This window comes from Homo sapiens, chromosome 10, assembly GCF_000001405.40.
Source record: "Homo sapiens chromosome 10, GRCh38.p14 Primary Assembly".
Lineage (NCBI taxonomy): Eukaryota > Metazoa > Chordata > Mammalia > Primates > Hominidae > Homo > Homo sapiens.
The window spans coordinates 132,846,529-132,869,456 of NC_000010.11; the positions used below are offsets into that span (position 1 = coordinate 132,846,529).

The 22,928-nt window shown below is 54.6% G+C and overlaps 1 protein-coding gene and 1 non-coding gene across 20 annotated transcripts in view, besides 6 other annotated features; one reads left to right on the top strand and one right to left on the bottom strand.

Moving 5' to 3' along the window:
* Positions 1-22,928, bottom strand: part of CFAP46 (cilia and flagella associated protein 46) — a 134,179-nt gene that overhangs the window by 38,137 nt on the left and 73,114 nt on the right. For 13 of the 16 annotated variants that reach the window (XR_007061969.1, XR_007061970.1, XR_007061971.1 and 10 more), the window contains exons 33-43: positions 22,746-22,844; positions 20,847-20,979; positions 19,497-19,643; positions 14,254-14,454; positions 13,889-13,995; positions 12,543-12,719; positions 11,062-11,260; positions 4,589-4,777; positions 3,716-3,904; positions 659-793; positions 404-583 (exon numbers count right to left, since the gene is read on the bottom strand). Coding sequence is in view for 13 of the 16 variants with exons in the window: in NM_001200049.3 (NP_001186978.2) it covers positions 404-583; positions 659-793; positions 3,716-3,904; positions 4,589-4,777; positions 11,062-11,260; positions 12,543-12,719; positions 13,889-13,995; positions 14,254-14,454; positions 19,497-19,643; positions 20,847-20,979; positions 22,746-22,844 (1,756 nt within the window). In the remaining 3 variants the exon portion in view is untranslated. Of the gene's footprint in view, positions 1-403; positions 584-658; positions 794-2,679; positions 2,797-3,715; positions 3,905-4,588; positions 4,778-11,061; positions 11,261-12,542; positions 12,743-13,888; positions 13,996-14,253; positions 14,455-14,524; positions 15,308-19,496; positions 19,644-20,846; positions 20,980-22,745; positions 22,845-22,928 lie in introns of those variants that run through there. The other 3 variants (XM_047425395.1, XM_047425396.1, XM_047425397.1) reach the window with 3 other exon arrangements.
* LOC105378571 (uncharacterized) lies at positions 2,124-11,167 on the top strand. Of its 4 annotated transcripts, none has more exons than XR_007062347.1 (4): positions 2,124-2,772; positions 3,663-5,120; positions 5,244-5,982; positions 10,926-11,167. It is a non-coding gene; the product is annotated as an uncharacterized LOC105378571 (transcript). The 4 variants fall into 4 exon arrangements; XR_946497.4 differs by having other exon boundaries at positions 5,244-5,319; XR_007062346.1 differs by lacking the exon at positions 10,926-11,167 and having other exon boundaries at positions 5,244-6,497.
* Positions 11,672-12,203: an enhancer, noted in NCBI's record as "H3K27ac-H3K4me1 hESC enhancer chr10:134671704-134672235 (GRCh37/hg19 assembly coordinates)". NCBI's record gives its function as "activates a minimal SCP1, AML or CMV promoter by ChIP-STARR-seq in primed H9 embryonic stem cells {active_cell/tissue: H9 hESC(primed)}" and the evidence as "EXISTENCE:reporter gene assay evidence [ECO:0000049][PMID:30033119]".
* Positions 12,204-12,734: an enhancer, noted in NCBI's record as "H3K27ac-H3K4me1 hESC enhancer chr10:134672236-134672766 (GRCh37/hg19 assembly coordinates)". NCBI's record gives its function as "activates a minimal SCP1, AML or CMV promoter by ChIP-STARR-seq in primed H9 embryonic stem cells {active_cell/tissue: H9 hESC(primed)}" and the evidence as "EXISTENCE:reporter gene assay evidence [ECO:0000049][PMID:30033119]".
* Positions 15,054-15,586: an enhancer, noted in NCBI's record as "H3K27ac-H3K4me1 hESC enhancer chr10:134675086-134675618 (GRCh37/hg19 assembly coordinates)". NCBI's record gives its function as "activates a minimal SCP1, AML or CMV promoter by ChIP-STARR-seq in primed H9 embryonic stem cells {active_cell/tissue: H9 hESC(primed)}" and the evidence as "EXISTENCE:reporter gene assay evidence [ECO:0000049][PMID:30033119]".
* Positions 15,587-16,118: an enhancer, noted in NCBI's record as "H3K27ac-H3K4me1 hESC enhancer chr10:134675619-134676150 (GRCh37/hg19 assembly coordinates)". NCBI's record gives its function as "activates a minimal SCP1, AML or CMV promoter by ChIP-STARR-seq in primed H9 embryonic stem cells {active_cell/tissue: H9 hESC(primed)}" and the evidence as "EXISTENCE:reporter gene assay evidence [ECO:0000049][PMID:30033119]".
* Positions 16,119-16,651: an enhancer, noted in NCBI's record as "H3K27ac-H3K4me1 hESC enhancer chr10:134676151-134676683 (GRCh37/hg19 assembly coordinates)". NCBI's record gives its function as "activates a minimal SCP1, AML or CMV promoter by ChIP-STARR-seq in naive H9 embryonic stem cells {active_cell/tissue: H9 hESC(naive)}" and the evidence as "EXISTENCE:reporter gene assay evidence [ECO:0000049][PMID:30033119]".
* Positions 16,652-17,183: an enhancer, noted in NCBI's record as "H3K4me1 hESC enhancer chr10:134676684-134677215 (GRCh37/hg19 assembly coordinates)". NCBI's record gives its function as "activates a minimal SCP1, AML or CMV promoter by ChIP-STARR-seq in naive H9 embryonic stem cells {active_cell/tissue: H9 hESC(naive)}" and the evidence as "EXISTENCE:reporter gene assay evidence [ECO:0000049][PMID:30033119]".

Consider the following 22,928-nt stretch of genomic DNA (forward strand, 5'->3'; position numbering starts at 1 on the left):
CTGCTGGCCTGCAACTGCTGGGTCTCCGTGTCTGCCCGATCCTCTGTGGGACCTCTGTGAGGTCCACACGGACAGGGACCTGCTGGCCTGCGACTGCCGGGTCTCTGTGTCTGCCCGATCCTCTGTGGGACCTCTGTGAGGTCCGCATGGACGGGGCCCTGCTGGCCTGTGACTGCCAGGTCTCCATGTCTGCCCGATGCAGGGGATCGGGGATAAGCACACGAATGCATGTTCTCTCTGAGCCACAAGTTTACGTGGCCGGCAGGCTCCCACTGCTTAAGGACCCTGGCCTGCGGCCTGCTTCTCTAATGGAGTCCCCCCAAGGCGAGGGCCCCAGCTGAAGCCCAGGGTCCTCCCTCCTCCATGAAGGGCCTGGCTGGAGGTGGGCAGGGCAGAGACACACCTGAGACAGAGCCAGGAACTGGCAGGTAGTTGCAGGGTCCAGGGTGCCGACACACTCCACCATCTCCAGGCTGGCGGCTGCTGCGACATCCAGGAGGCCACTGCCAAGGGCCACCTGTAGGCACTGCAGCAGCACCTCTGACGCCTGAGCCAGGTACTGCTGGGCCAGAACCATCCTCCTCTGTGGGGCACAAGGCTCAGGCTCAGGCCAGGCTCCGGGCAGAGGCCACACGAGGGGCAGGAGGGGCAGCCGCACCTTCAGGTCCTCGCCTCTCCTGCAGTGCTCCTCCGGGGCTGCCCTGGAGGCCGGCGGGTCCCTGCTGGACTTTGTGGCACCCTCTTCCTCTACCTCCAGCTCCAGAGACTTGAGGCCGCTCAGCTTGGCGCCCACCTGTGACACACATTGCAGGTTGGCAGACACTTCTGGGTTCCTGCTTGGTCGGCGTGGGGAGGGCCCACCCAGGGAGGCCGGGGTGGTCGGGCTCCTCAGCAGGGTCCCCGGGTAGGGGGTACCGCAGGCCACAGCATGGCCTCTCACTATCCCAAACCCTCCATCCCTGAGTTGATGCAGGGTGGCCCTGACCCGTGAGCCTGGGCAAGGGGACGCTGGAGCCTGGGCGAGGGGATGCTGCAGCCAGGGTGAGGACGCAGACCCCTGAGGAAGCCGGCCTGAGTCACGTGGGCCTGGAATCCAACACATTCCCAGGGGGCTCTCGTTCCTGTCCTTTGGAAACACCTCTCCCGGAACCAGCCAGCACTGAGGCTGAGGCATCCACCAGCCCTCAGGGGCCCCTGATCTGGCTGAGACACAAGCCCCACCTGGGTATAGGAAGCCCTGGCAGCCCCTGAAGAACCTGGGTTGAGAGGGAGCCCCCTGGGTTTTCGGGACACAAGGTATCGCAGCACCAAATCTATATATGCACCCAATGATCAGGCGTCAAAATAAAAACACTGATAGAAATGGAGAAGGAGTGATGGACATGTCCCCGTTCTAGTAGGCTGCCTGAATGCAGGCAAAAACCAGCAAGCACGCTGGAGGCAGGGCAGCCGTGGCCACCTGACACGCACGGCTGCCTGACATGCACGGAGCCTGGCCCCTTTCTCGACGGAGCACACGCCGTTCAGACGTGTGCAGAACATTTACCAAAACCAACCAGGGCTGCACCACGTGCAGCCACTGCAGAGTCCCCAGGACCGAGACCACTCGGTGTGTTTTCAACCACCAGGACATTAAACAGGAAGTCAGTCATGAAAATAGACCCGTGAGAAACAGTCGCCTTGAAATTAAACAAGATACAATCATCAAGTCAGTCAAACAAGAAATTGCAATGGAATTTATAAAACGGACTTAGAGAATGAAAATACTGAGGGAAGAGAAAAGGAAAAGTCAGTGAGGCCGACAGCCAAGGCTGGTCTTTGGAGAAACAGCCTGAAATGTCACAGCCACAGGCAGAGAGAGAGCTGCCAGGCAAAACCAAGCTGCGGCAGCACTGGTGAGTCGGGGGGAGGGAGGGCAGCAGAGAAGCCTTCGTTCTCCAGGTCATCAGCCGGCTGCCAGGGAAAGTTTCCTCCCCTTTTCAGGCATGAACACGGTGGGCTCCGAGGGAACCTGCATGGGTTGTGGGAGGGGGTGGGGGCTTATCCAAAACACACCCACAGCTGCACAAACAAGAGAGGCTGCGCTTTGTGCTCCCTAAAGACACACCCGCAGCGGCACAGATAAGGAAGTCACAAGAACAGCGAAAGAGACCAGCGGACTTTCTTATCAAAGCGTTTGGATTCAACTGTGAAAATGGCAGCCCACTCGGGCCCCCTCTCCGCCACAGAGAGCTTTTTTCTTTCACTTATTAAACTTTCGCTGCAACTTCTCCCTGTGTCCACGCGCCTTAATTTTCTGGGTTGTGAGACGATGGACAACGAGCTCGGATAACACCTTAGACAACGTGACCAGCAACCCTAGACCGTGTCGATCCTACGTATCAAAACTTGGGAGACTAAAACGGGGGTTAGAGGAAAAATACAGCCTTGAATACAAGAAAAAACCCAGAAAAACCTTGATTTAAGCTTTGATTTCAAGAAGCTGGACAACAACATAAATCATATCTAAGGACAGCAAAAGGCAGGTACGTCCCGGCCTGGCCTGCATGGGGCGGGGGCCGCGGAAGAACCCTGCGCCCTCCACACGGGACTTGACGTCTGCTCTGCCCTGGCCCCTCCTCGCTGGAGCACCATCAGCAGCATTCATGGATGAGGACGCAGCTCACAGGAGGCCCTGCCGACCCTCGCTTCTGGTCCACACCCACCCGCTACCTGAGCAGGCCAATGGAGGCTGGTTGCATGCAGAGCCTCGATTCCATCAATTCACTCGAGGTACATCAAGTCCTGTGCTAGGTCCTGAAGACGCAGGACAGACATTTCAGGGCCGACCCAGGGCTGCACGGCACCTGGTGGGGGGATTGCCCTGGGCATGGAGCCAGGCACATATGGCGTGGTTGCTCCAGTCCCTGAGGGCATCTTCCTTAGGAGCTGGTGTGTGGGGACGAGCCCAGCTTCTCTGCTGGGGCAGGTGCCTTCCGGGGGAGGAGCTGGCATCTGCACAAGTGTTTAGGAAGGTGACCTGGGGCCTTGCGTGGCTTGTAGGGGCCATCACCAGGGTCCTGAGGGAGCAGGTCACTCCTGCAGCTGACTCAGCCCAGCTGGGCAGCCTTGCAGCCTTCTGGAGAAGGGTGGGCCCTGGGCTGAGAGTGAAGAAGGTCCCGACCGCCCTTCTCAGAGCCACCTGGGCATGGAGGCAGCAGCCTCCCTGGGCTGTAGGGGGTGGGGGATGGAGGGGAGCCAAGGCTGCCTAGGGCTGGCCCTGCTGTGCACTGGCATGGGGGCCACGGCGCCCGGTGCTCAGGCCCACCCTAGGCCGCTCCTGCAGCTTCTGAGCTCCCCAGGTCCCTGTGCGGGGCCTGGCCAGAGCCGCTGCTGCGGGACACACCAGTTGCGTTGCTCCACGCTCGCCAGCACAGGGCTTGATTGGGGCGGGCCGCGTGCTGGGGCGGGCTGGCTCTGTGCTGCTGTGGGCCGACCCAAGTGCCCGCCTGCCCTCCTTGCCTACTCCACAGACACTGTGTTTCCCTCCCAGGTCTGTTCCGGAAGGCCTGAGTTTTGCCAGCCCCATTTCTTCCCTCACGCCTACTTCCTACATTTTTCTCTCTTCCTGGGGCCACTGCTGCAATCACAGGAGTCCTAAACACTTCGCTTGTGTTTTTCAGGCACGGGTGACTGGTGTTGGAGCCAGACTTGGGATAGAAGCAGGAGCACCTACCGAGGGGCCCGCCTCCCAGTAGCAGGTAGGGTGCACAGGGTCAGCTTGCATGGCCAGCAGGTGCAGGGCCCTCCCGGCCAGGCCCAGGAGCCGGGCGCGGATCTCCACACAGCCCACGCTCAGCGGCTGCAGGCTCCCCAGCTGTGCCAGTGCCCCGTGTGCTAGAGTCCGCTTCAGCGTGAACCATTGCTTCGAAAAGACAGACATGTTACAGCTGCCACCCCAAGGGCAACCGCCCACCCTGCCCAGGGGACCCAGTGAGCCCGCCCTCTGCTGTGCCCTGTGGGTGGGAACACTGGGGAGCTCTGAGAAAGCCTTGCCCCGCAGGGAGGGTCTCCAGGGCTCTGGTGTGGGGGTCACAGACGTCTGCTCATAGAACCTTAATTCAGAGCTCACTGACAAATCAGTTTTAGGCCCGTCTTTGGTCCATTTATACTTATGTAAATTAATTTGAGTCATGTTTCATGAAGTCTCAGAAAACTCAAAATGGAAGAATGTATATTTCCCTCAAAACATTCTACATATTCAACTTTTTTTTTTACCAAAATGGAGTCCACCTCTATTGAGCTCTTTAATCCACATATGCATTAATTATTAATACGAATTAATTAGAGCAAATTCATGAGTCGGGAAGGGCAGCTGTGGGTCATATAGGAAACACCCCTGCAATGGGACCTCGATTTCATGAGCCAATTCAGTCTCCTCAAATGGTGAGACAATGCCCGGGAGCTCCCCCTGCTGCAAGAGGTCCCCAGCTGACCCGCACCGCCAGGTGCACAGTGGTGGAGACGGCTCCTGCTGGAACGGGGGTCCCATCAGCTGCACTGTGGCCTGGCGCTCCCTCCACCGGGAATCTGTGACCCCAGCAATTACCAGGCCGACGGAAGTGTAGTCACTGGTGTTCTGCAGATAGTCCGCCAGCAGCTTCTCCAGGGACCCCTGCTCACTCTGCTGCCCGTGGGCCTCCTCCCAGATGAACTGGAGCATGTCCAGAGCCATTTCCACGAGGCCGAGCTTGAGGCGCGCCAGCTTCCTCATCAGGGGCGTGTTGACGTTCTGCAACTGAGGGGGTCAGGCATGCCTCTGAAGCATGGAAGCTTCTGGTAAGCCTGAATCTACATCCCCACAACTTGGATGAGGCATAACCGACGTAAGAAACTCATAACAAACTGCGCAGATCTACAGTGGAAAACTGACACACTTTGATCACGAATACACCCGTGAAACCATCACCACCTTCGAGATAATGCAGTAGCCCTTATCCCCAAATCTCTTCGCGTCCCCTCATGTTCCCTCCCGGTCACCTAGCTGCCTGCCGGCACCCTGCATTCCTTGGCATTTTCCAGAACCGTACCTAAGTGGAGGCGCACAGAGTGCTGTCTTTCCGTCTGGTTCATTTTCCTCGGTAAAGTCACCGTGAGACTCCCCCACGCGGCTGCACGCATGCTCCTTCCCTCTCACAGCCGGCGTCGGTGCACCGTGTGCACGCGCCACACCCTGCTTATCTATTCAAATATTTTATTTCCAGTTCTGGGGCTACTACCAATAAAGCTGCTGCCAACATTCATGTGCAAGGTATCCACAGATCCTGATCCACAGACGTGGTATGTTCCTCCATTTACTTAGGAATTCTCAGATCCTGATCCACAGACGTGGTATGTTCCTCCATTTACTTAGGAATTCTCAGATCCTGATCCACAGACGTGGTATGTTCCTCCATTTACTTAGGAATTCTCAGATCCTGATCCACAGACCTGGTATGTTCCTCCATTTACTTAGACATTCTCAGATCCTGATCCACAGACGTGGTATGTTCCTCCATTTACTTAAGAATTCTCAGATCCTGATCCACAGACGTGGTATGTTCCTCCATTTACTTAGGAATTCTCAGATCCTGATCCACAGACGTGGTATGTTCCTCCATTTACTTAAGAATTCTCAGATCCTGATCCACAGACGTGGTATGTTCCTCCATTTACTTAGGAATTCTCAGATCCCAATCCACAGACGTGGTATGTTCCTCCATTTACTTAGACATTCTCAGATCCTGATCCACAGACGTGGTATGTTCCTCCATTTACTTAGGAATTCTCAGATCCTGATCCACAGACGTGGTATGTTCCTCCATTTACTTAAGAATTCTCAGATCCTGATCCACAGACGTGGTATGTTCCTCCATTTACTTAGGAATTCTCAGATCCTGATCCACAGACGTGGTATGTTCCTCCATTTACTTAGGAATTCTCAGATCCTGATCCACAGACGTGGTATGTTTCTGCATTTAGACATTCTCAGATCCTGACCCACAGACGTGGTATGTTTCTCTATTTACTTAGCTATTCTCAGATCCTGATCCACAGACGCGGTCTGTTTCTCCATTTACTTAGACATTCTCAGATCCTGATCCACACACATGGTATGTTTCTCCAGTTACTTAGGCATTCTCAAATTCTGATCCACAGACATGATGCATTTCTCCATTTACCTAGGTATTCTCAAATTTTTCTCAGTTATCTTTTGTAGTTCTCAGAGTACAAGTTCTCACATTTTTGGGACAGATTTCATTTTTAAATGCTGTCATAAAATTGTTTCAAAATTTTTAATGTCTGATTATTTCTAGCATGTAGAAATATACAACTGATATCTGCATATTGTTCTTATATCCTGCAACCTTACAAAACTCAGCATTAGTAGCTTTATTTTTTGGTGGATTGCATAGGACTGTGTATGCAGACAACTATGTTATCTGTGAATAAAAACAGTTTCATTCCTTCCTTTCCAATCTGGATGCTTTTAATTTCCTTTTTTCCTGCCGGATTCCATAGGCCGGAACTCCCATGTCAACACGGAACACAGGTGAGAAGAGGGCACATCCTCGTCTTCGTCCTTATCGAAAGGGGGCATCAGTCTTTCTCCCACAATTGTGACGTTAGCTCTAGCTTTTTCATAGATGTCCTTTATCAGGTTGAGGAAGTTTTCCTGTATTAATTGTTTGCTAGGAGTGTTTACCAGGAATGGGTGTTGAATTTTGTCAAATGCTTTTCCTGCATCCACAAAGATGATCATATGGTTTTTGTTAGTTTTGAAAAAATATGGTGAAATTAATTAATTTTTGAATGTTAAACTATTCCTGGGGTAACCTTGGCTTGGTTATGATGTATTATCCTTTTTATATATTGTGGGATTTAATTTGCTAAAATTTTGCTCACAAGGAATGCTGGTCAGTAGCTTTTTGTTGTTGTTAATGTTTTTATCTTGTTTTGGTATCAAGGTAATATTTGTATCATAGAAAAAGTGGGATGTATTCTCTCCTTTTCAAGTTTCTAGAATAATTTGTGTAGAACTCGTATTATTTTTTCTTAAATATTTGGCAGAATTCACTAGTAAAGCCATCTGGGCTTGACGTTTCCTTTGTGAGAATGTTTTTAATTACAAATTAAAAATTTAAAATATATAGGGCTACTCAGGCTATCTCTTTCTTTTTGAGTGGGCTTTGGTAGTTCATGCTTTCAAGGAATTTTTCCATTTCGTCTAAGTTGGCAGACATATTAGCATAAAGTTGTTTGTAATATGATTCCCTTATCCTTTCAATATCTGTAGAATCCATGGAGAAATTGTGTCTCTCATTTCTGATAGTGGTAATTTATGTCATCTTTTTTTTCTGATCCGTCTGACTAGAAGTTTTTCAATTTACTGATCTTTTCAAAGAACTAGCTTTGGTTTCATTACTTTTCTCTTTTATTTTTCTGTTTTCTATTTCACTGATCGATTGCCCCTCAGATCTTTAATTTTTATTCCTCTGCTTATTTGGGAACTGAGTTTGCTCTTTTTATAGTTTTGTAAGGTGCAGGCTGAAGTAATTGATTTGAATCTTTTCCCATTTCTCCTACAGGTGTTTAGTGCTGTAAATTTCCATCTCGGTATTGAATTGGCAACATCTTAAACACTTTGATAGGTGTTTTTTTATTCCCTTCAGTTCAAAATACTTTCCCCCTTGATTTCTTCTGTGGCCCACAGTTATTATGACATTTGCTATTTATTTTTCAAATCTTTGGCATTTCGTGCATACATAGCTTTCTGTGTTTTGTTTTGTTTTGTTTTGTTTTGTTTTGAGATGGAGTTTCGCTCTGTCGCCCAGGCTGGAGTGCAGTGGCGTGATCGCCACTCACTGCAAGCTCTTCCCCCCCAGGTTCACGCCATTCTCCTGCCTCAGCCTCCCGAGTAGCTGGGATTACAGGCGCCCGCCACCATGCCTGGTTAATTTTTTGTATTTTTAGTGGAGATGGGGTTTCACCATGTTAGCCAGGATGGTCTCGATCTCCTGACCTCGTGATCTGCCCTCCTCAGCCTCCCAAAGTGACGGGATTACACGCATGAGCCACTGTGCCCGGCCAGCTTTCTGGTTTTTTTTAATTGAGGTAAAAGTCACATAACACAAAATTAACCGTTTAAAAATATACAATTCAGTGGCACTTACACGTTCACAACATTGTGCCACCATCATCTCTAATTCCACGACATTTTCATCACTCCAAAAGGAAACCCCTCGCCCATTAAAAAATCATCCCTTATCCTCCTTGCCCTGTTTCTATGGATTTATCTATCTCTCTGTTTCTGATTTCTAATTTAGATTGTGGCACCAGTACATATTTTATATAACTTAAATCTTTTAAAATTATTGAGACTTGTTTTATGGTCCAAAATACAGTCCATCTTGAAACATATTCATGTGCACACAAAGAGCATCTTATTCTGCTGTTGTTGGGTGAACGTTCTAGAAATATCTTCAGGTCATATTGGTTGGTAGTGTTGTTCAAATCTTCTAGTGATTTGCTGATTTTCTGGCTACTTACTCTATTAACACTGAGAGAGAGGAACTGAAATCTGACTGTAATTGTAGAGTTGTCTATTTCTCCGTTGCAATTTTATTTTATCAGTTTTTGCTTCATTGATTGTGAAACTCTGTTATTAGCTACAGAAATGTTTGCATTTATAGCCTCTTGACTGGTTGAGCCGTTTGCACTATAAAATGAGTTTGTTTATCCTTGGTAATATTCTTTTTTCCAAAATCGGCTGTGTGTGTTGTTAATATAGCCACTCCAGCTTTCTTTTCATTAGTGTTAGCATGGTACATTTTTTCCATTCTTCTCCTTTTAACCTATTTATGTCTTAATATTTAAAGTGGCTTTCTTGTAGGTAGCCCATAGTTGGGTTTTGCTTTTTTATATAATCTGATAGATTCTTTTAACTGAGGGTGTTCTGATTATTTAAATTTCATGTGATTATTCCATGATTAGGTCTAAGGTTATCATCTTGCTGTTTATTTTCTGTTGGTCTCACCTGTCCTTTATTCTTTTTCTTTTTTCTGCTTTCAGGGGGACAAATGAATACTTGTTATGATTTCCATTTATCTCCTTTCTTGGCTCATGCAGCATACATCTGTATTCTGGTATTTCTGTGGCTGTTTTGGTATGTAGTGTATGATATCACTTCACGCAGAGCATAGAAACCTTGCATTTGTTACTGACCTCCCAATCTTTATGCTATTGTTGTCGTACATTTTTACATGTTAGAGACCCCATGCTACATTGTTATTATTGTTTAAGCAGCCAATTATCTTTTAGAGTGATTTTTAGAAGAAGAATTGGACACAATTTCCCCTGGAGTTTACGTGTTCGAGGCTCTCCATGCACCTGTGTGGATCCACACTTCCAGTGGGTGTGGCTTCCTTCTGCCTGCAGGACTGACTCCAAGAGCTCCTGCAGGGCTCAGCCACTGAGGACGCCTTCCTTCAGCTCTCGAGTGTTTGGAGAAACATCTTTATCTCACTTTCATTAAGAATCATATTTTCTGGGTACAGAATTCCAGGTTGGCAGTGTTTCCTCTCGGCCTTCACAGAGGTCCCTGCGCTGGGCTCTCAGCTACACTGCTTCTGCAGGAAGCTGCGCCATTCACCTCTGCCACTCTGCACACAACACACAGTGCTCTCTGGCTGATGCTAAGATGCTCTTCTTGCACTGGTGTTAAAGTGTTTGGTTATGGTGTGCCCTGATATAGTTTCATTCCTCTTTCTAGTTCTTGTGCTTGGGACTCATTCAGCTTCTTGGATCTGTGGGTTTGTATTTATTTTTATCAAATTTGGAAAATTTTCAGTCATTAGTTATTCAAATTATTCTGTTTATTCTACTTTCTCCTCTTCTCCCAGGATTCCAATTACACCTATATTCGTGCACTTAAAACTGTGTGACTTTAATTTTTGTTCTTTTTAATTTCATTTTCTCTTTTTAAAAGTTTCTGTTGCTATGTCTCTAAGTTCTCCAATGTTTTCTCCTGCCATCATTGTCATTCACCCCACCTGGTGCCTTCTTCATCTCCTGTGTTGTGGTTTTCACCCTGAAAGTTTGGGTTTTCTTCCTTTTACATCTTCACCATTTCTACTTAACTTTCTGAACATACAGAATACAGTGATAACTTGTCTTCCAATTATAATATCTGTGCCCATTGATCAATTTGCTTTTGATTGATCAATTATTCTTCCTAATTTCCTGCTTTTCTATACGGCAATATTTTATCGGTTGCCAGACATTTGGGCTTTGTCTTCCTTTGGGGTCTGGTGGGCATTTCTGCATTCCTGTATGTGTTCTTCAGGCTTGGGCTCTGTTCCGGGACAGTTATCTTCTCAAAGGAAATAGCTGGGTCCTTTCAGGTCTGCTTTCTAGGGTCTCTCAGGCAGGTCTGGAGCGGGGCTCACCCAGGCCTAATGACCCCCGACTGAGGCAAGGCCCTGTGTCTGCTTTGCCCGATGCCCCAGGGATCATGAGGTTTTCCAATCCGGCTGGTGAAGTAGGTGCTGTTCCCACCCTAGAACCCTTTTGGGTGGGTTCTTCCCCAGCATGGGGTAGCTTCCTCTCAAGAATGTGCTGATTAGTCCTTGGTAGGACACTCCGGGGCCTCCCTCGAAGGTCTTGGGGTTTTCTCTCTGTGCAGCCCTCTCCTGCCCTCCCCTCCCTGGGGCTCTGTCCCATGAGTGGCAGTGCCTGGCTCTCCCCAGGCTCTCGGCTCCATCCTGTGACTCAGGTCACCAGCGGACTCCACCTGAGCCGCCGTGGTGAGCTCGGACCTTAGCTCAGGGACCACTGCCTGTCATTGCTGACGTCTAGTGTTTTCAAAGTCTTTGTTTCATACACTGTTTGTTTTTTTGTTGTTTCAGATGGGGGAGTATCTGATCCCTGTTATTCCATTTCAGCTAGAAGCAGAAGTCAGCTGGCTTGTAAGGTAAGTTACAGTGGGGTTTATATCCCGGTGGGAGTGACCCAGTGTGCACAGGAACCAGGACACCTGCTTACGTCTTGAAGTGACAATAGGCCCTGGACGCTGTGAAGCCTCCCTTCTTCCTCAGCCATGGCGCCCTGGGCCAGGCCATATAAGCCCTGGATGCTGTGAAGCCTCCCTTCTTCCTCAGCTACGGCACCCTGGGCCAGGCCATACGCTTCCAAGTAATACGCAGTTTTTTGTTCTTCATCTTTCTCGTTCTGGGCACGTAACCTTTATAAGACATAAGAATGGAATTTTAAAACATTATGTTATTATTACTAAATGTTTAATATGTCATTTTCTATCATACTGTATATTTTATTAGTGCTTAAAATGATGTTTTAAAATAGCTAACATGTAAAGACATCCTCGATACGTCTTAGAGGTTTAAGAAGCTGGAATAATGCAGTATGTACAGTGTATTATGGTTATAAAAATTAAGTGTGCGCTTGAAGGAGATTTGCTGAAGCAATTCCACAGCATCAGCTTTACCCAGCGGGCTGGGTCTGATCAGCTAACTGAACTTCTGCAAGGACAATGTACGACATCCACAGTAACAGACACGGCTCAGGTCAGACCTTGTGGTGGGTTATGCTTCCCTCGCGCAGGCTTCTACACGCCCGCACTGGGCCCGCCGTGTCGAGACGCTTGCGTGTGGACAAGTCCGGGGGCCATAGGTTGGGGGCAGGGCAGTGGGCAGGGCCAGGGAGGCTTTGCTGGGGGCGGCCCCAGGTTGGGGGCAGGGAGGTGGGCGGGGCCATGGAGGCTTTGCTGGGGGTGGCCCCAGGTTGGAGGCAGGGCGGTGGGCGGGGCCAGGGAGGCTTTGCTGGGGGTGGCCCCAGGTTGGAGGCAGGGCGGTGGGCGGGGCCAGGGAGGCTTTGCTGGGGGCGACCCCAGGTTTGGGGCAGGGCTGTGGGCGGGGCCAGGGAGGCTTTGCCAGGGTGGGAGTGGCTGGCAGCTGCTGTGGTGGGGACGGCTGGCATCAGGGCTGTGCTGGCCCTGCCCTCGGTGGGAGCAGCCCCTGAGATGCCGTCTGCGGCCGCGCTACAGAGCCATGCAGGGCAGGGCCACCTCCTGAGGTCAGGGCCCTGCAAGCAGCTCAGGGCTGTGCTCGGGATGTGCACGTGTGACCTGGGCCTGGGCATGTGTGTGCAATGCGCGTGTGCCTGTGGCTGGTGGGGGTGGGTGGTGCTGTATGTCTGTGCGTGTCTGCCAAGGGCTGGAGGTGCAAGGCCCAATGTGGATGCCCTCGAGGAAGGTGTGGGCAGCCGCAGGGCTGGGGCCAGAAGGAGGCCCTGTCAGGGGCAACGGGGGCTCCCCCGACGGGGAGGGCTGGGCATGTGATCAGAACGTGTGGGTGAGGCGGCAGCCGAGAGCTTCCCAGGGGAGGGTCCTGTGGACCCCGCGGGGGTGCAGCCGGGGTGAGCCAGGCCCAGAAGGCAGGATGGCGCTGGGCGTGTTGTGTGTAAGAGAAGCAGTGACTCCCGTGCAGGGGTCGTGGAGGCAGCCTTACCTCTTGATCTTCGCACGCTCTAGTTTTACGTCAACACAATTCTCTTTGCAGCCACAGTCGATAAACTTTCTCTCAATTTCCAACAGGCCATCATCCATCTCTTTCAGTAGCAACGAGCACTCTGTGGGTTCAGTGACCGCTGAGTGCTGCGCAACTCTGACCCGCAGGCTCAGGCACCTGACGGAGGGACGGTTTGGGGCCTGGAGTCAGAAGCCCCAGGGCCGCGTCAGGGCTTGCGGCTGGGCTGCCGCTGTTCTCCCCGGTGTTCATCCAGGGATGCTCGGAGAAACGCTTTCGGAGCATTTCTCGAAAATCAACATCATATGGGCCTCATTCTGTGATCGCATGTGATAAAATCAGAAACTCACAAGCCCCACCCCAGGCACTGTATCCAGGTGGAAATTCAAAAACCCTCTCCTACTTGACTCACTAGTGGAACAGTATCCAGGCGGAAATTCAAAAACCCTCTCCTACTTGACTCACTAGTGGAACAGAAACCCATGTTGAAGCGTTGGGCTGTTCACACGCTGCAGCTGGGGGGCCCAGGGCAAGGTCGGGAGGGAGGCAGAGAGCACAGGCATGAGGCCGCCGCCCCGGAGCAGCCACAGCAGGGCCCTGGGCTGCCCTCGCGCCAATGCAGGGAGCTCCACAAAGATGAAGCAGAACACAAGGAAAGCCTGAGTCAGGCAGAAATCCGTGTTGCTGGGGTCTGTAAACCAAAGCCAGCTCCTTGAAAAGGTCTGCTGCGTTGGAGCCTGTGATTCTGATTTAGAAGAGACGGCGTTGCCATCCTGGCCAACATGGTGAAACCCCATCTCCACTAAAAATACAAAAATTAGCCGGGCATGGTGGCACATGCCTGTAATCCCAGCAACTCGGGAGGCTGAGGCAGGAGAATCACTTGAACCAGGGAGTCGGAGGTTGCGGTGAGCTGAGATTGCACCACTGCACTCCAGCCTGGGCGTCGATAAATGGCAATAAGGGAGGCGTGCCTGCCGCAAGGGTTTTGTGAAAGCTATAAGAACACACTCCCTACAAATTTATACCGACACACCACAGACTTAGAGGAAAAGGTTTCCCAGGCCCTTCCCAAGGCCCTGAAGTTGACTTTCTAAGCCAAACAGACGGGACATGTGGATGGAAGGTCCACTTCTCAAAGAAAGTCTGAAGCAAGCTCAGGAAACTTCTGGAGCTTTCTGGAGCTGCACGGAAAGCTGTGGATATGTGGCCCCATGACGTGGGTCTCTGAACTTGCATAGACTTGACGTATGGCACAAAAATTGCAGATGGAAAAGAGGAAACCACAGCTTTCACGCTAATGAACAGTGTTTCTTACAAAGAGTTACCTGGCTTCTAGATCTGTGATCATGAATTCCAGTAAAGGCAATCGGTTTGGTCTTTCTTTCTTGAGGATCTTGAAGGCATTGATGAGCTTCTGAAATATGTGACACACCTGAGGACAGGCAGGGGTGGATACGGGTGTGTCTGAGGACAGGCAGGCATGGATACAGGCCTGAGGACGGGCGGGCAGGGACAGATACGGGCCTGAGGACAGGCGGGGGTAGATACGGGTGTGTCTGAGGGTGGGGCAGGGATGGATCCAGGCGTGTCATCAGCGGTCTGCCAGGCAGAGCCCCATGGACGCCCTTCCTCTCCACCAAGCACCTGGCCCGGCACCCGACATGCAGCCCCAGGTCCCCGTGCCTCTTACCGTAGCTTCCCTTCCTGAGTGTTCCATGGACAAGAGCGCCTCTGCCAGGGTCAGAGTGGAATTGTACCAGAACTCCTCACTTCCGCCCAGGTGCTGGGCCTGTGCGATCATTTTCTTGGCTTGTCCATAGTTTTTCTCCTTGTTGGCCAACTGTGCGAGGAGGAGCAGGCACTGGGCCTCTGCACAAGGCTCATCCAGCTCCTGAAGGAGAGAAACTCAGACATGCTTGGGTTCCTCTACAGATGTGTGCAGGCAGGGAGACAGGAGCAGGCAGAGAGAAGGAAGAGGGAGACAGAGAGGCAGAGACAGACAGACGCACCAGGTGAGGGGAAGACAGGGCTGCTCACTCTGGCAGTGGAAGGGTGGGGCCCATGGCCGCCCTCGCACTCCCTGGCAGGACTTGCAGTGCTGCCCGGCTCCTGCCCCACTGTGGTTCCTTGAGTGGGACGCCCGCCTCCCTGCCCTCCAGAGGTTTCTCTGGAGTCAGCACCAGCTGCAGCGCGCATGACTGTATCTCATTCCATTTAATTATATTTCAGTGAGGAGCTGACAAGTGGAATCGGCGTTCAGGGAGGCACAGCCCCACTCTGGCTGGTCTTCGGGGGGATTTGTCTCCCTCTGCCTGAGCTGAGCGGCAGGAAACTTCGTCCCCGGAGCCTCCTGGGGCTCCTGCTGGCCCCGTCCTGGCCCTGTCTTTTAGGGGCTCCCGCTTGGGGCGAAAGGCTTCGGGACAGCCACACCTGGACACGGATGCTGAGCGGCTCAGAGCCTCCCAGAGCCAGGCCTCCCCATCCGGGGGCCTGCAGCCAGGGAGCTGGGCAGCCACATGATCTGGGACAGAAATACAGGGCAGACTGTGCTAAGAACAGAGAGGTGCTGGTCAGAGGGTGAGGAGAGGACGGGAGCGGTGGCGGGAAAGCCGGTCCCAGCTGCAGGGCTGCCCAGGTGTCTTCTGCAGTGGAAAGGCAGCGTCCTGTTCCCATGTATCACTTTCTGGCCAAACAAGAGGCTCTGTGTGCTCGTTTGGACCTGGGCAGGCCCCTCCCAGGTGTAGCTGCAGGTGTGGGGACAGAGGGGAGGGTGGGCTGATGAGCTGGGGCTACCCGCCGCCAGAGAGCAGGTGTCCCAGCTGCTGAGGGCTCCATCTCTGGCCGTTCCATGCATTTAGATGCCCAGGACGAGGGAGGGGCCCCAGCCACTAGGGAGGCATGCCCCAGTTGTGCCCCTGCCCGACACAGGATCCACCTGGACGCCACAGCCTGCATGCACCTGGGCATGGCTGTGACCGCCAGACGGCGTAGGCAGGGCCTGGGCCCATAGCAGCCTCGTGGGCAGTCAGGTGGCCTGAGGGTAGGCAGGTGGGCGACTGGGCTCTGTGGAAGGGCATTCCTGGCCTCTGGACCAAGCCTGGCAGGGGGCTGCAGGCCTCTGAGGAGGGAAGAGGGGGAGGCCCTTCGTGGCTGGGCCCAGAGAGAAGGGCTGGCAAGGGTCCAACGGGGCCGGGCCCCTGCGGGGCTTGTTGAGGGCAGCTACAGTGGGCCGGAGGCCGGCGACAGGGCGGGCAGGGGCTTCCACATGGAGAGGAGGAGGGTGCGGAGGTGGGACAGAGCTTGGCCGGGGGTGAGGAGCGCCCAGAAGGCAGGGAGAGGACAGGGTGGGTGGGGCGGGGTGGGGGGTGCGTGAGGCTGATGCCAGGGTTTCCAGTGCCGACACTGAGTGGGAGGGGCAGAGCCCTGTCCTGAGGAGTGGGCAGTACAACAATAGTCACAACCCCCAAGGCAGATGTTTCCAGCCTGGAGGCCTCTGAGGTCGGCGGGGGTCTGAGTGCTGAGTGCTGAGGCTACAGTGGGAGAGCCCAGGGGAGGTCAGACCCCCGAGAGACAAGGCCACTGTGTGGGTGGGCCTGAGAGGGGAGGGGTGCCACCAGCAGGACGGAGAGAGCCCCGCGGAGGAGAGACCAGGGTGGAAGGGCAGAGCGCACTCCCATCGCCGGCCTCGGGGAGCAGGTTCAGGAGAGGCTGGAGGGGGACGGGGCGGCCGGGCTGCACTGGCTGAGGGTGAGGAGGGGCGGGAGGGGAGGGCAGCACATGGAGGCAGGCTTTCTGTGGTGTGGATGTGGCTGAGAAGCCAGGGTGAGCTGAGGGCAAAGTTGAGGACGGGAGGTAGGAGGCCTTCAGGCAAGAGGGCGGGAAAGATCAAGGAAACAAACAACTTCCTGTCAGAAGCGCCTGCTGTGAAACAAAGTCCCTGCAAAACAGCGGCTGCAGGAAGGAGGGTGGCGAACCCACGTTCGCGGGAGTCCAGCACCCATCACGTCTGTCCTGGGTCTGGGCTCCAAGGTCCACGGTGGCCCCGGGTATGAGGCAGGTTCACTCCCCAAGTCCCAGAGCTCAGGACCACGGAGGCCCCGGCATGCAGCAGACTCACTCCCTAAGTCCCAGGGCTCTCACCACCTCCCACTGCCTCCCGACCCCGGGGTGAGGGAGACTGGGCCTCTGCCCACCTCGGAGGCTTGACTCTTGCCCCGGGAGCTCCCAGGAGCTCTTCCACACCTCCAGCCCTGCGGCCCCAGCAGAGGCTGGCCCTCTTCTGTGTCTGCGGCTAAAAGAATGCTGCACCCATGTATGTCCCCTCCATAGCTGTCCACAGCATCCTCAGTCCCTTCCTTGGACAAGCTCCCTTTTGACCCTGGTGTGCACACACCCGTCTCTGCTATCAGAGACCTGCACACACCTGTCCCCAATGCCTGAGACCTGCACACACCTGTCCCTGCTATCAAAGACCTGCATACACCTCTCCTCACTGCCTGAGACATGCACAAACCTGTCCCTGCTATCAGAGACGTGCATACACTTGTCCCTCTTCCTGAGACGTGCACACACCTGTTCTCAGTGCCTGAGACCTGCATGCACACATCTGTCCCCCTGCCTGAGACCTGCACTCACCTGTCCCCCTTCCTGAGCCCTGCACACACCTGTTCTCAGTGCCTGAGACCTGCACACACCTGTCCCCCTGCCTGAGACCTGCACGCACCTGTCCCCCTGCCTGAGACCAGCACACACCTGTCCCTGCTATCAGAGACCTGCACACACCTGTCCCCCTGAGACCTGCACACACCTGTCCCCAGTGCCTGAGACATGCACACACCTCTCCCTGCGATCAGAGACCTGCACACACCTGTCCCTCTGCCTGAGACCTTCATACACCTGTCCCCAGTGCCTGAGACCTGAACACACCTGTTCCTGCTATTAGAGACCTGCACACACCTGTCCCCCTGCCTGAGACCTGCACACACCTGTCCCCGGTGTCTGAGACCTGCAAACACCTCTCCCTTTGTATGAGACCTCCACACACCTGTCCCCCTGCCTGAGACCTGCACACACCTGTCCCCAGTGCCTGAGACCTGCACACACATGTCCCCCGCCTGAGACCTGCACACACCTGTCCCCCTGACACCTGCACACACCCGTCCCCAGTGTCTGAGACCTGCACACACCTGTCCCCCTGCCTGAGACCTGTACACACCTGTTCCCCTGCCTGAGACCTGCACACACCTGTCCCCAGTGCCTGAGACCTGCACACACCTGTCCCCAGTGCCTGAGACCTGCACACACCTGTCCCCAGTGCCTGAGACATGCACACACCTGTCCCCAGTGCCTGAGACCTGCACACACCTGTCCCCCTGCCTGAGACCTGCACACATCTGTCCCCATGCCTGAGACCTACACACACCTGCCCCCCTGCCTGAGACCTGCACACACCTGCCCTCAGTGCCTGAGACCTGCAAACATCTGTCCCCCTGCCTGAGACCTGCACACACCTGCCCTCAGTGCCCGAGACTTGCACACACCTGTCCCCCTGCCTGAGACCTGCACACACCTGTCCCCAGTGCCCGAGACCTGCACACACCTGTCCCCCTGCCTGAGACCTGCACACACCTGCCCTCAGTGCCTGAGACCTGCACACTCCTCTCCCCCTGCCTGAGACCTGAACACACCTGTCCCCCTGCTTGAGACCTGCACACACCTGTCCCCAGTGCCTGAGACCTGCACACACCTGTTCCCAGTGCCTGAGACCTGCACACACCTGTCCCCCTGCCTGAGACCTGCACACACCTGCCCTCAGTGCCTGAGACCTGCACACACCTGCCCTCAGTGCCTGAGACCTGCACATACCTGTCCTCAGTGCCAGAGTCCTGCACACACCTGCCCTCAGTGCCAGAGATAAAGTCTGAACCTCTCAAGGCTTTGATGGGCATCACTGAACTTTTATACCATTCTAGGACCCTCTCTTTTTCTGGAGTTTTTCTTCAAAACATCGACAGGCTGTCTGGTTCTGCAGCTCTGCCTCACCCTCCCAGTGAAAGCAACTCTAAAATCTGGAGAGAAGATGTCACCACGTGTCTGAGGTGAGTTTGGAGGGCAGTCAGTGCTGGCAAAAACTGGCAACTACACTCTGCACAGAGAAAAGCACCCGTGGGCCTCCATCCATCTGGCTTTTTCCTGGGGCTGCCATCCCTGCTGGGGGAGTGCAGGCGCCCAGGGTGAGGAGAGGAGGCTGCAGCTGGGGCTTCCGGTGCTGAGGCTTGCAGGGCCAGTCCCAGGAGGAGGGGCCGAGGTGAAGGGTCCAAGGGCTGTCAGCTGGGCTTGGCTGCTCAGGGCAGAGCAGGATGTCACAAAGCCTGGCAGGAACCAGCTAAGACCAAACAGGTGCAGCGCCCGCCGGGGAGACGGGGCCTCAGCAAACGTCCCGGGGCTTTCGCTGGGGACCGTAAGGGTCCCATCCAGGGAGTGAGAGCAAAACAAACAAAGACCAGACCAGGCCCAGATTCCTGGACCCAGGCAGCCCCGCACACAATCCGCCTTCTAGAACAAAGTGGCGCTCCTGGCAGAGACACCCTCTGGGGTTCTCCAAGTTCTCGTCCAGCCTCAGAAGGTAAGAAACTGACTATGGCAGGAGGCAGAGCGGAGCCACTGACACCCAAGAGAAACGAGAGGTTGCAGAGACCAACAGCAGGTACTGGAAATAGAAACTTCAGCAAACTGTGAGTGGCAGAGCAAAAGACGGACAGACAGAGGACGCACAGGACTGACTTCCCGCAGAGAGCTGGACCCAGACAAGAGAGGCACGTGGCCCTGCTAGAGCTGAACGCTACAGCCCAAGCTTCTGCCCGCAGTCCCTCCACTGTGCACAGTGCGCTGGGAGCGGCTGTGGATGGTGATGGGCTGGGAGGGGCTCCTCACCTGGAAAGCCAGGTAAGCCTCCGACAGGAGCAGCCGTGCAGGCTGGTACAGGTTCATCTCCAGCAGAACTTCTGCCTTCAGCATCCACAGGTGGGGAAAGGACGTCCCATCCAGGTCCCTCCCGGTCTCCCCATTCATCTTCAAAATCTGTAAGATACCGCAGCCCCAGGCGGCACGATCCTGACACTTGTGACCTCTGAGTCTCACGGGACAGGCTCTGGCTCAGGAGCCATCTGTACCACACAGGGAGCCACACCACACCAAGGGCTCCCTGCTGGCCTAGGCACCATGGGCGCCTCGCAAGCTCCCCGTGTGCCCCAAGGCCAGAGCTCAGGCCTTTGCCTTTCCCCCGACAGACCTCCTGCACCCTGGGCACCTCTCTTTTCTCACGAATCCCCTTGAAGCCAACTAAGCCCACCACTAGCCACGTAGAGCCTTTGCTACTCCACACACACACATTGGGGTGTAGGACCCCTTGCCCCACCTCGTGGTGCCGAACAACCCTGGGATCTGGGCCTGCCTGCGGCTGTGCACCCGGCCTTGCTAGGGCGCCCCGGGTGTGGGCCGGTGGCTGAGCCCCTGCACTAGGATCTGGGCCTACCCCGCATCCCCCCAGCCTCTCCTCGCTAAGCAGAGCCCCCGGCCTGGGGCGGTGGCTGAGCCCCGCACTGCTGTGTTCTGGATCCAGGTCCTGTGCTGAGCCCCTGTCCTGTCCTGACTGCCAGGTCACAGGAAGCATGGCCTTTGCCCCTCCATGGTGCTCCCACGGTAACTGCGTTTTGGGTTAGGAGCCAGGCTGGTCACCTTCCTTTATGGGCAAATGCAGAGGGGTGCTGTGCTCTCCTGCTGAGGGAAACCCAGGTGGTGGGAGAACCAGTTCTGTCAGATGACCGGGACCTCCAGGCGGAGCTCCCTCTTCGCTGCCCCCACCTTCTCTCAGCCTCTGCCCAGGCGCCCAGCAGGCCTGTTCCAGGGAGGCCCGTGGTGCACATAAAGCTCATCTTTCCCGGGGAATTCCAGGGCCCACGGGAGGAGAAATCAGTCACAGGAAGCCCCTCGCACACTGACACACAGGCCAGCCCCACACAAACAGACACACAGGCCGGCCCCTCGCACACTGACACACACACAGGCCGGCCCCTCACACACTGACACACACACAGGCCGGCCCCTCACACACTGACACACACACAGGCCGGCCCCTCACACACTGACACACACCCAGGCCGGCCCCTCACACACTGACACACACACAGGCCGGCCGCCTGGCTCAGCTGCAGCCCTGCATGGCCACGAGGCACCGGCGCCCGCTGGGCTGCGGGTCAGAGGGATTCTGGACGGTGAGGTTACCTTGTCCTTGGCGTCCAGTGGTTTGATCTCCCCAGGCTGGACAGGAAGTGTCTGCTCATTCAGTGCTGGCAGGCTTTCTTCTAATAAAGGCTCCTTATTTTTCTCTTTTTTCAACGCGATCTCTTTTCTGCAGCTAATGCGAGGAAAACAGACAATACGCAAGAGCCACATGGCCACGAAAATGTCCCTTCACGAGTAACCAAAGAAACGCAAACGAAAACAGCCACAATTACATTCTTCACGCGCGTGTTTACAAAGATTTTTAAAAATCCTCAGGATCTAACGGCACATCCGACTCCCAAATTTGTGTCCATCACTGGTTCTCTCTTCCAAACTCCAAGGTCATGTCCAGCTGCTGTTTGACAGCCAGGGGTGTTTAATGAGCATCTCCGACTCCATCTCTCCGGCGTGCCCAGCCCCGGCCCCGCTGTGCCTCCCGCGGGCACCCCCACCGGAAAGTTCGGAACCAACTACAGGTCCCTGGGTGGGCTCCTGCTCCCCGCTCGGCCTTCCCACGGGGTCTTCAAGGTGTCTGCTACCTTCCCCTTCGCTGCTCCACCTGGCCCCGGCCACGGCCCCCGGCTGTCCCGCCTTCTCCTGTGCCATGAACACCAGGTCCTGGCCATTTGCCACAGCACGTCCAGAGAGGTCCTTTAGAAGGCAGGCCAGCAGGGGGTCACAGCAGAGGTCAAGACCCAGCAGGCCCAGCCCCAGGGCGTTTTCGTCCTCTGACCTCTGACCCTCTCCCGAGGCCTGCACGCCCCTCTGCCCAGGCCTCCCCGGCCACGCGCGTTCCAAGTCGAGGTGCCCCTTGCCGCCGAGACGTCGCTGCTCCCAGCACACCACATCGCGCTGGCCACCCCACATCGCGTTGGCCTCTGCCATCTGCCACCCTCCACAGCTCGTAAACAAATGAACAGCAGGGAACCAGGACCCTATGGCCTCCACAACTCCTTTGCTCCAAAGTTATTTTAGGGCTGTGAGGACAACCGGGCCAAAGACCAGGTTCCTGGGACACTGCTCCACGTCCCTTATACCAGGAGAGTGTGGACACGGTTCCAATGTTCAGCCGGGCTGCACAGATAACTCACGGTGCACAGATAACTCACGGTACTGAAAAATGCAAAGTTCACATTGCAGGTGAAGGCTGGTTACCACAGGCCGCTAAGTGAAAGGGTATAGAGAGCTTAATTCCACTTTCACCATAACAGTGTCTGTTTCAATGTAACGGCGAAATGGCCGGAAGAGCATGAGTGAAAATATGAACAGGGTTATGCTGAATGATGGGGCCAATCGTGAGCTTTATTTTCCTCTTTCTTTTATCTACATGTTCTAAGATTTTCACTATAAAATGTATCACTTACGTAATTTTAAAAAGTATCTTGTAAAAACTAATAAAAACAGAACCGTATACAATCATAGCACAGAAGTATTTCTGAGATGGTCTCTAAATCTAAAAGTGATTTGCTACACTAACGAGAGTTAGTTGTTACACAGCCTGATGTTAGTAAACTTCAACAGCTCTGAAGTGAACTCCTGCCTGAAGGCTGCCGGAGACGGGAGTGGCCTGACCGAGCACTGCCTCAGGACCCGGCGCCCAGCACCCAGCGCCCAAGGGTCCAGGGCCCGGCAGCCAGCCTTTCTGTCCTCCGGGGAGGGGCTCGGGCCACCCTGGAGAGCCCCCCTCACCGCCCCTCCCTCCCTCTGTGAGGAGCACCTCCCCACAACCCACCTCCAGCACGACCCAGGAGAACCGGCCACAGCCGTGTCCCCCAAGTGCTCACTCTCCCCAGAGGGGCAGGAGTCCAGGGAAGAGGGTGGCCGCGCAGCTGGCTTTCACCTGGCCGCACCAAGGGCGAGACTCAAACCCCAGGCGGCGCAGGGTGGGACGGCACACACCTGGCCTGCTCCAGCTCGCTGACGCACACCTGCCCGACCGCCTCTTCATGGCGCGCGGCTGCTTCTCTCAGCTTCAGCTCGGAGCACGCGTGGGCGAGGCTGTGGGGAGTGTGGCCGAAAGAGTCAGTGTTGCACGGGCGCAGAGGGAGCCAGAAACGAAGCTACTAGTGTGCTTCACAGAAA